This window comes from Homo sapiens, chromosome 6 (assembly GCF_000001405.40).
Source record: "Homo sapiens chromosome 6, GRCh38.p14 Primary Assembly".
NCBI classification, from domain to species: Eukaryota; Metazoa; Chordata; class Mammalia; order Primates; family Hominidae; genus Homo; species Homo sapiens.
The window spans coordinates 4,694,423-4,706,137 of NC_000006.12; the positions used below are offsets into that span (position 1 = coordinate 4,694,423).

The 11,715-nt window shown below is 40.3% G+C and overlaps 1 pseudogene; it reads left to right on the forward strand.

Moving 5' to 3' along the window:
* PSMC1P11 (proteasome 26S subunit, ATPase 1 pseudogene 11) lies at positions 8,035 to 9,581 on the forward strand (annotated as a pseudogene).

The window sequence follows — 11,715 nt, forward strand, 5'->3', positions numbered from 1 at the left end:
CTGCTTGCCTCAGCTTCTAAAGTGCTGAGATTACAGGTGTGAGCCACTATACCTGGCCCCAGACTTTTCAGTTATGTCTTTCATACCATTTTAAATATCTCTGTACCATTACCATGAGAAGGTATTTTTTAATAAGTTAAAACATATTTGCAAAATTAATGTGCAATTTAAAATTAAGATAATAATTCTCTAGATATAAGTTAAATACCTTCAAGGACTGAAGTTCATCATTGACCAGATGACCTGTAAGAAATCCAGATCTAACATTCTAAACTACCTGGAAAGTTACCTGGAAAGTCTACGAATTTAACTTCACAAACTGCCAACATCATCTCTTCTGGAAGTACATTGTCAGAGCTCCTGACCCCAACCTTATAAGCAGAGGTTGTCTCCAGGAACATTTCTGCTCCCTGCTCTGATTTAAAATACCAGGGAGAGAATCTGTTTTGAAAACAATCCACAAGACAATATTTTCCCTAAGGTCAGCTTTAGGAGAGGTGGTTCTCTTTCTTAGAGGATTTATACTGCACTTTCACATACCGTAAAGTATTCCATTTGGTGCTCACAGTACACAACTCTGAAAGGCGGAGACAGTGTGTACTACTACATCCATTTAACTTAGGAGGAAACTGAGTCCCAAATATGTAAGTTACCAGCCCAAAAATTCTTAGCACTAAATAATAAAGATCAGAGCTCAAACATGTCTCTGATCCCAAGTACTGATCTCTCCATTAACCTGGTTGCCTCTAGCATCTTCAAAAGCCCAATAATCCAAAGACATACAAATAAGCAACAGGTACATGAAAAGGTGCTTGACATCACTAATCATCAGGGAAATGCAAATCAAAACTGCAATAAGATATCACTTCAATTCTGTTAGGACATTATCAAAAAGACAAGCAATAAGAAGTGTTGGTGAAGATGCAGAGAAAGGGAACCCTGGTACCTTTTGGTGGGAAGGTAAATTGATAAAGCCATTATGGAAAACAGTATGGAGGTTGCTTTAAAAAATTAAAAAGGGAGGCCGGGCTCAGTGGCTCACACCTGTAATCCCAGCACTTTGGGATGCTGAGGTGGGCTAATCACCTGAGGTGGGGAGTTCAAGACCAGCCTGACCAACATAGAGAAACCCTGTCTCTACTAAAAAAAAAGAAAAAAAAAATTACAAAACTAGCTGGACGTAGTGACGCATGCCTGTAATCCCAGCTACTTGGGAGCCTGAGGCAGGAGAATCACTTGAACCCAGGAGGTGGAGGTTGCAGTGAGCCGAGATTGCACCACTGCACTCCAGCCTGGGCAACAAGAACGAAACTCCATCTCAAAAAAAAAAAAAAAAAAAAATTAAAAAGGGGGCCAGGTACGGTGGCTCATGCCTGTAATCCCAGCACTTTGGGAGGCCAAGGCGGGCAGATCTTGAGGTCAGGAGTTCAAGACCAGCCTAACCAACATGGTGAAACCCCATCTCTACTAAAAATACAAAAATTAGCCGGGCATGGTGGCACGTGCCTGTAATCTGAGATACTCAGGAGGCTGAGGCAGGAGAATCGCTTGAACCCAGGAGGCGGAGGTTGCAGTGAGCCGAGATTGCACCACTGCACTCTAGCCTGGGCGACCGAGTGAGACTCCGTTTCAAACAAAAAAAAAAAAAGAAAGAAAGAAAAGAAAAGAAACAGAATGGAATGGTGGTTACCAGTGGCTGAGGGGAGGGGAGATGGGGAGATGTTGGTCAAGGAGTACAAATTTTCAGTTATGCAAGATGAATAAGTTCTGGAGATCTAATATACAGCCTGGTGACTACTGTTAACAATACTGCTTTGTATACTTAAAATTTGCTAAATGGGTAGACCTTAAGTGTTCTCACCACACACACTAACTCTTTACAGAATAGAAAAAGAAGGAACACTATGCTGACTCGTTTTGTGAGCAATTGCAAGCTTAGTATAAAAAAAAGTAAAAAGGTCAATATTGGAAAGAAAAATTGAAGGTCAATCTCCATGAACATAGATGCAAGAATCCTGAACAAAATATTACCAAACTGAATCCAGCAATTAAAATTTTAAAAAAATGACCAAGTTGGGTTTATTCCAGGAATGAAAAGTTAGATCATTAGAACATAAATTAATGTAATTTAGCTTATTCGTTGAAGAAAAATTATGTTGTGATTTTTTTTTTTTTTTTGAGACGGAGTCTCGTTCTGTTGCCCAGGCTGGAGTGCAGTGGTGCAATCTTGGCTCACTGCAACCTCCGTCTCCTGGGTTCACACCATTCTCCTGCCTCAGCCTCCCAAGTAGCTGGGACTACAGGCGCCCATCACCACGACCGGCTAATTTTTAGTATTTTTAGTAGAGATGGGGTTTCACTGTGTTAGCCAGGATGGTCTCAATCTCCTGACCTCGTGGTCTGCCCACCTTGGCCTCCCAAAGTGCTGGGATTATAGGCGTGAGCCACCGCGCCTGGCCTATGTTGTTATCTTACTTGAGATGAGAAAGTGTGTGATAAAATTCAAAACAACATTCATGAGACAAAAAGTAAAAAAATAAAATCACTTACACACTAGAAACAAAAAGGAATGTTCTTAACATGATAAGTATATCTTCAAACTAATGAGCAAAAAAAGGTTTTTTCAATTGTGAAATATTAACACGTACTTTTAAAAATCAGGCATAATAAGATGTTACATAATCCTCAGTTCTACTCAGTGCTGCATTGGAATTCTAACCTGTGCAAAAATAAGAATACAAGCAAAGATAAGGAAAATAATACAGATTCAAAAAATATCTGTCATTATATGCAGGTATTATATTCTACACAGAAAACTTCCAGTTATCTATACTGTATTAGTCCATTCTCAAGCTGCTAACAAAGACATACCCAAGACTGGGTAATTTATAAAGAGGTTTAATTGACTCACAGTTCAGCATGGCTAGGGAGGCCTCAGGAAACTTATAATCATGGTGAAAAGGGAAGCCAACACGTCCTTCTTCACATGGCAGCGGGGAGGAGAAGGAACGCCGAGCAAAGGGAAAAGTCCTTTATAAAACCATCTGATCTCATGAGAACTTATGCACTATCACAAGAGCAGGATGGGGGGAACCACCCCCGTGATTCAGTTATCTCTACCTGTTCCCTCCCATGACACATGGGGACTATAGGAACTATAATTCAAGATGAGATTTGGGTGGGGACACAGAAAACCCATATCATATACATTATTAGAAGTAATAGAAGAGTTTAGTAAGTTTCCTAGGCATAAAATCCACATGTGCATCAACTGCGTTTCTAAACACCAGCCAAAAAACAGGTGGAAAATAAAGTTTTAAAATATTATTTACAGTAGCAACAACAAAATAAGGTACCAAAGAATTAGTCTAGCAAAAGATATACCAGACCTTTTGGCAGAAAGTTATAAAACTTTAGTGAAAGGTCTTCAATAGGACCTAAATAAAGAGAACAACAACACTTTTTCCATGGATAGGAAGATTAAATATCTTAAAGATCAATCAATTCTCCCCTAAACTTTCATATGGATTCCATGTAATTCTTTTTTTTTTTTTTTTTTTTGAGACGGAGTTTCACTCTTGTTGCCCAGGCTGGAGTGCAATGGCACGATCTTGGCTTACTGAAACCTCCATTTCCCAGGTTCAAGCGATTCTCTTGCCTCAGCCTCCCAAGCAGCTGGGATTACAGGTGCCCACCACCATGTCTGGCTAATTTTTTTTCATATTTTTAGTAGAGACAGGGTTTCCCCATGCTGGCCAGGCTGGTCTCGAACTCCTGACCTCAGGGGATTCACCTGCCTCAGCCTCCCAAAGTGCTGGGATTACAGGCGTGAGCCACTGTGCCTGGCCGATTCAATGTAATTCTAACAAAAATACCAATAAGACATTTCATAGAACTTGGCAAACATTCTAAAATGTATAAAGAAGGGCCAGTGACCAAAAAGCTGAAACAGGGAAAGTGTTCTGCCAGAAATGACATATTATAAGTAATTAGATTGTGTGTTATTAGCACGAGGATGAAAAACAGACCAACGGAACAAAAAGAGAACCCAGGAACTGATCCACACTTTATGATATATGATAGATCCAGCATTGCAGATCAGAGGGGCTATCCATATAGAAAAAAAAAAAGTGAAAATGGATTTCTGTCCCATACCATACATAAAAATCAATTTCAGGTGTATCAGGAACCAAAACAGGGAAAACAAAACTTTAAAACACTTAGAGAAAATACAAAAGAATATTCTAATGATCTGTGAGTAGGGAAAGATTTTTAATCAAGCATGGAAAATACAAACTATAAAGAAAAAATTAATAAAACTGACTAATAAAAAGAATGCTATTGAGTAGAATCACCATTAGGAGGGTAAATAGATAAGCCTCAATGTGAGAAGATACTCGTAATTATAACCAACAATGAATCATTGTACAGAATATGTAGAGTATGCTAAAGAAAAAAAAATGAAACGTACAGAAGGCTTAAACAGGCATATCTGTGAAAAAGAAATATGAACGGCCAAGATATCTACAAAGACATACTCAACCTCAGTATTAATCAGGGAACTTCAAATTAGAATGACAATAAAATAGATTTTCAAAAACAGAAGCCCAACAAAATCAAGCATTGCCAAAAGTTTAGAACCACAGACATTCTCATACATTCCTGGCAGGAGTTGGCTCAACCACATTAGAAATTGTCATTACTTCATGCACCAGATACTATGAACTGGTTTGCTCAACTTTTATTCCACCTTCTCCTAGGGTGCCTTCCTATATTTCAAAGGGCAGAAAACTAAAAACCCCATTTGCAAGACACCCTTATAGCTAGGGTTCCATATACGATTAAAGTTTGACCCATCCAATGCTCTCAGTGAGACCTGAACTGAGTTAAGTGAAGAGAGAGAGGCAAGGCTGACAGTATTTGTTTTACTGGCAGGGATTAAAATGGTGGCTTCCCAATTTTAGAAGGTGATTTCAGAGCTGTGTTTGGTTCTGGAGCCAGCAGGTCTGACAGTGGCTTCTTGATTTAGCTGAAGTGGTCCCTAATTGTGCCCAAGGCACTGTGGCTTTGGAGTCAGATTGTATTGGCAGCTTTCCAATTCAAAACATAGCTTCCCATTGACGGGAAAAGTGGCAGCTTTCTTGATGGCTCAGTGTGGCTTTGGTGTGGCCTTGGGAATTATCACTAGAAGTTCAGTGTTGAGTCTATTTCTTTAACCCTCCCAACAATTCTGTAAATGATCAATCATCTATCATAAATCCCTTTCTGCTTTAATGAATGAGGGTGCATTCTGCCGTTTGTTCTCTACCTGAATCAATACATCAGCAAAGTTGTATTTGTACATACTAAGCAGCCCAACAATTGTTTTCCTAGGTATAGACCCTAAAGAAACTCTTATGATTCCTCAAGGATCTAGAACTAGAAATACCATTTGACCCAGCAATCCCATTACTGGGTATATACCCAAAAGATTATAAATCATGCTGCTATAAAGACACATGCACACGTATGTTTATTGTGGCACTACTCACAATAGCAAAGACTTGGAACCAACCCAAATGTCCAACAATGATAGACTGGATTAAGACAATGTGGCACATATACACCATGGAATACTATGCAGCCATAAAAAATGATGAGTTCATGTCCTTTGTAGGGACATGGATGAAGCTGGAAACCATCATTCTCAGCAAACTATCACAAGGACAAAAAACCAAACACCATATGTTCTCACTCACAGGCGGGAATTGAACAATGAGAACACATGGACACAGGAAGGGGAACATCACACACCGGGGCCTGTTGTGGGGTGGGGGGAGGGGGGAGGGAGAGCATTAGGAGATATACCTAATGCTAAATGACGAGTTAATGGGTGCAGCACACCAACATGGCACATGTATACATATGTAACTAACCTGCACATTGTGCACATGTACCCTAAAACTTAGTATAATTAAAAAAAAAAAGAAACTGTTGGATATGTAAACCACAAATACATACAAGGATACTTATTGCAGCACTGTTTGTAATGAAAAACTGGAGACAACCCAATATCTATCAAGAGTAGCATGGATAAGTAAGTGATGATATAATCAAGAGAATACTACACAGATATGAAAATGAATAACTTATAGTTTTACATATCAGTGTGGATACATTGCAAAAATAATGTTGAATGAAAATAACTCACAACAGACTATACACAGTATGATTTTATTTATATAAGTTTAAAACTAAACATTATTTGGAGACATACACGTATATATGTACCATATATATATATATATATATATATATATATATATATATTTGGAGGTACATAGCTATATATATATTTGGAGATACATTGGTATATATAAATAAATGTAAAGAAAATACAGGAAACAGTTGACACAGAGTTCAGGAAAATCACTACTTCTGGTAGGAAGAGGCAGGGGTGTTATCAGAAAGGGTTATACAGGAGGCTTCAAGGATACTGGTAGTGTGTGATTCCAAAGCTGTGAATGTGGGCTGGTATTCAGTCAAGTTTGCATGTATATCATATACTCTTCTGTATATATAAGTTATTTGATAATTTTAAATGTTAAAGAAAAATAAAGAATGAGAAGGCAAGAAAAAAATGAAAATGTTAACACAACCGACCACGCAATTTCAATTCTGTCCTAAAGACATACCCACACATAAATGAAATGACTATAAAGTATGAGGTTATTATTGCAACATTATTTGAAATAACAAGAGATTGGAAATAACATAAATATTTATAAATTTGGAACAATGGTACATTCAACATAGTGAAGTAGGGTACGGTCGTAAAGTATATGAAAAAATTCTTCCATTGATATGGTGTGATCCTCAGTGTGTGTTCAGTGAAAAATTCATGGTGAATAATAACGAGATTAACAGCCTTTTATTTTAAAAAAGAAAAAATATATAATATAGTGCTATTAAATAATAGTACAACAGTAATATACACATATAAGTGGCCTTTATTTATAAAAAAAAAATTAAAAGAATAACTTAGAAACCAATAAAAATGACTACCTAGTCAACTCTGGACACATGACCTACGAGTTAGCCCTGCTCTGCAAGGAGCAGTTTTTTGTAATAAAAGATAAAAACAAACAAGCAAAAAAATGATTACTTACGGGAGAGGGGCAGAATCGAAAAGAAGAGATTAGAGACAACCTTCTCTAAGTATATGTTTTCATATAGTTTTAATTTTTAAACCATGCAAAGATTTTTACATACTCAAATAATAAACTTAAACCCTATTGAAAAAAAAAATGAAGCAAATCCTGGAATTGAAAACAAACTAAAGTAAATAAAACTAGTAATATTGTAAATAACCATCCAAAGGAAAGAGCTCCTTCTAGACTTTGAAGTTAGTACTTTATGCATGCTTGGTGGCATACTTCTGCAGAGCAATCTTAAATTTCATTTAGCAGTTCTATTGCTAGTAAAAATCTTAGTATGTTATTTTGAAGCAGTCTCTATTTCCCTCTCTTTCAGAGATAATTTTATCTCTCAGAGAGACTCCGTCTCAAAAAAAAAAAAAAGCAAGCAAGAAAAAAGATCAAGTTATCAATAGTTAGAAAATGACACTGAAAACAGACCTATCTCACATTCCTGTGACAGAACCATCTCACTCTGAATCCATTGTCGGAAGCTTTGCTAGGTTATTTGGACAACTGAGAGATTCTGAGCTTCCTGGAGACTGTCCCTCTCGCTAGCAAGAATACACCAAAAAAGATGGCCCTCTGAAGATAGCTTTTAAACGGTTCAGAATCAAAGCCCTCACAGGGATTTAGCAATGACAGGTTCTGAAACTCAATTACTTGCAGGGGTTTAAAAGGTTGAAGAATCTCTTCTTCAATGCAAAATTTCTTCCACACCAAAGAAGTTAAACCTCACCTTTGAAGGGCCTCAACTTTAAGAATCATAATAATCAGTGATTCTGGGCTTAATCAGTCTTTGTTGAGTAATTGGATTTCTTTTTTTTTTTTTTTTAAAGTCTCAAGCTCAAGTGGCCAAGGCAAGACGGGTCAAAGTCAGAGTGGTGGTCACAGTCCTGGAGGTGGCAAGAAGGATGACAAGGACAAGAAAAAGAAATATGAACCTCCTGTACCAACTGGAGTGGGGAAAAAGAAGAAAACAAAAGGATCAGATGTTGCCAGCAAACTGCCACTGGTGACACCTCACACTCAGTGCCCATTACAATTACTGAAGTTAGAGAGAATTAAGGACTATCTTCTCATGGAGGAAGAATTCAAAAGGAATCGGGAACAAATGGAACCATTAGAAGAAAAGCAAGAGGAGGAAAGATCAAAGGTGGACGATCTGAGGGGACCCCGATGTCAGTAGGAACCTTGGAAGAGATCAATGACAGTCATGCCATCGTGTCTACATCTGTGGGCTCAGGACACTACGCCAACATTCTTTCATTTGTAGACAAGGATCTGCTGGCAACTGGCTGCTCAGTCCTGCTCAATCACAAGGTGCATGCCATGAGAGGGGTGCTGATGGATGACGTGGATCCCCTGGTCACAGTGATGAAGGTGGAAAAGGTCCCCCAGGAGACCTATGCCAATACTGGGAGGTTGGATAATCAAATTCAGGAAATTAAGGAATCTGTGGAGCTTCCTCTCACCCATGCTGAACATTATGAAGAGATGGGTATAAAGCCTCCTAAGGGGGTCATTCTCTATGGTCCACCTGGCATAGTTAAAACCTTGCTAGCCAAAGCGGTAGCAAACCAAACCTCAGCCACTTTCTTGAAAGTGGTTGGCTCTGAACTTATTCAGAAGTACCTAGGTGATGGGCCCAAACTTGTACGGGAATTGTTTCAAGTTGCTGGAGAACATGCACCATCCATCGTGTTTACTGATGAAACTGACGCCATTGGGACAAAAAGATATGACTCAAATTCTGGTGGTGAGAGAGAAATTCAGCAAACAATGTTGGAACTGTTGAACCAGTTGGATGGATTTGATTCTAGGGGAGATGTGAAAGATATCATGACCACAAACTGAAGAGAAACTTTGGATCCAGCACTTATCAGACCAGGCCGCACTGGCAGGAAGATCAAGTTCCCCCTGCCTGATGAAAAGACTAAGAAGTGCATCTTTCAGATTCACACAAGCAGGATGATGCTGGCAGATGATGTAACCCTGGATGACTTGATCGTGGCTAAAGATGACCTCTCTGATGCTGACATCAAGGCAAATCTGTACAGAAGCTGGTCTGATGGCCTTAAGAGAACGTAGAATGAAAGCAACAAATGAAGACTTCAAAAAATCTAAAGAAAATGTTCTTTATAAGAAACAGGAAGGCACCCCTGAGGGGCTGTCTCTCTAGTGAACCACAGCTGCCATCAGGAAAATGGTTGGGAGATTTCTCAATCCCTGAAAGGGATGAGGTTGGGGGATTTGCCCAGAGGAATCCCTGTTCCCAGTGATTTTTATTAGAAAAACATCCTGTGTCTTTTGGAGTACAATGTGTAAGTGCCCATTGGGTGGCCTTCGTCTGTTGGTCACTGTGCAGCAGTCTGCTTCCCAGTAAAGTGTGCTCTTTCTCACACACACACACACACACACACACACACACACACACAAAGAATCTCGCTCTGTTGCCCAGGCTGGAGTGCAGTGGCACAATCTTGGCTCACTGCAATCTCTGCCTCCCAGGTTCAAGCGATTCTCTGCCTCAGCCTCCAGAGTAGCTGGTATTACAGACGTGCGCCACCACACCCAGCTAATTTTTGTATTTTTAGCAGAGATGGGGTTTTGCCATGTTGGCCAGGCTGGTCTCAGACTCCTAACCTCAAGTGATCCACCCGCTTCAGCCTCCCAAAGTGCTGGGATTACAGGTGTAAGCCACCACACCAGCCAGACTTCTTAAAAATAATATTTTCTGTACAAAGCAAGAGTAAGAAGGTGGTCAGGAGACTTATCAGATTGAAATGATCTCCATGAAGTCCCAGAAAGGTAAAGGAGACTTCTCACTTCCCACTCAGCTCTCAGGCCCATGAAAACCACCCATCCACATCATACATACTGCAAGGTGACCTGAATTCCAAAGTCCTGACTGCTTCTCACCTTTTATCCTCCCCAGGAACTGTAGTTAATAACATTCACCCTGTATTAGTCCGTTTTCACACTGCTATAAAGAATTGCCCAAGACTGGATAATTTATAAAGAAAAGAGGCTTAAATTCCACATGTCTTGGGAAGCCAACTTCCTTGGGAAGGAAACTTACAGTCATGGCAGAAGGGGGAGCAGACTCATCTTACATGGTGGCAGGCAAGAGAGACTGTGTGACAGCACGAGAAAAACTACCATTATAAAACCATCAGATCTCGTGAGAATTCACTCATTATCACGTGAACAGCATGGGGGAAACTACTCCCATCATTCAATTACTTTTCTCCCTTGACATCTGAGGATTACAATTCAAAATGAGATTTGGCCGGGCACAGTGGCTCACGCCTGCAATCCCAGCACTTTGGGAGGCCGAGGTGGGTGGATCACCTGAGGTCAGGAGTTCAAGACCAGCCTGGCCAACATGGCAAAACCCCATCTGTAGAGAAAATACAAAAATTAGCTGGGTGTGGTGGCAGGTGCCTGTAATCCTAGCTACTTTGGAGGCTGAGGCAGGAGAATCTCTTGAACCTGGGAGGCGGAGGTTGCAGTGAGCAGAGATCGCACCAGTGCACTCCAGCTTAGGCAACAGCATGAGACTCCATCTCAAAAAAAAGAAAAAAGACAAAATGAGATTTGGATAGGGACACAAAGCCTAACCATATCACACCCCATTGGCCACCCACCCACCTCCTCCTCCTAGAAGCTCTTCCCTCCCTGTGAGTTGGCAGGTGAACTTCTGTTGTTCCTTTCTGGCCACATCTCCCACCTCCTTTACTCACTCTACTCTCTTCCTCTGGAAACTAAACATAGGCATTTCACAAGGCTCTCCTCTCTTCCTTAAAAAACTCACTCATTTTACACCTTCAACTCTCTCCTTCATACAGATGATTCTGTTTTATCAGCTCACCCCTCACTTCACTCTTGAGTCCCAGACTCAAATTTCCAACTACCTGCTGGAAATCTGCACTTCATTGGCCCATGGCTGTTTTAAACTCCATCTGCTCAAAACCGAAAGCAAGACAACCCCCTGAAAACCTACTTCTTCTGCACTTTCCACTCTTCTGTTCCTTCATGTGAGAAAATATCCACACGAAGTACAGCACATATTCTCGTCTCTGAGTGTACCATCCTCCCTGCACCCCTGCACTCAACTAGAAATTTCCATTCTCCTTAGCTGTTTTCTAGTGCCCATACTACTGATTCTGAACTCAGGGGATTATCTGCAAACACAAGTTCCAAGGCCCCATCTGCAGGTTTGAAAACCACTGCTCTTGACACAACATTTTCTAGGTGAAATCAGACCAAGGGAATGCTTGTACCACATCAGACAGTCCCCTGTTAAAACTGTTTTCACGGGGCTGTGATTTGTTGCGATACCCTTGGCTGCTTAAAGGCTGCTACAAAAAGGCATATGATTAAAATTGCTGTTGTACTCATGCCAGAGGCGTAGCTGAGCATGTTAACATTACATCACAGAGGGGGCCTTTTATGAGGCAGGGTCCCTGACTGATGAGCAAACCACCAGAGGAGGGTCAGGCGAGAGGCCCAGTGGAGGGTAACACACATGGAGTTC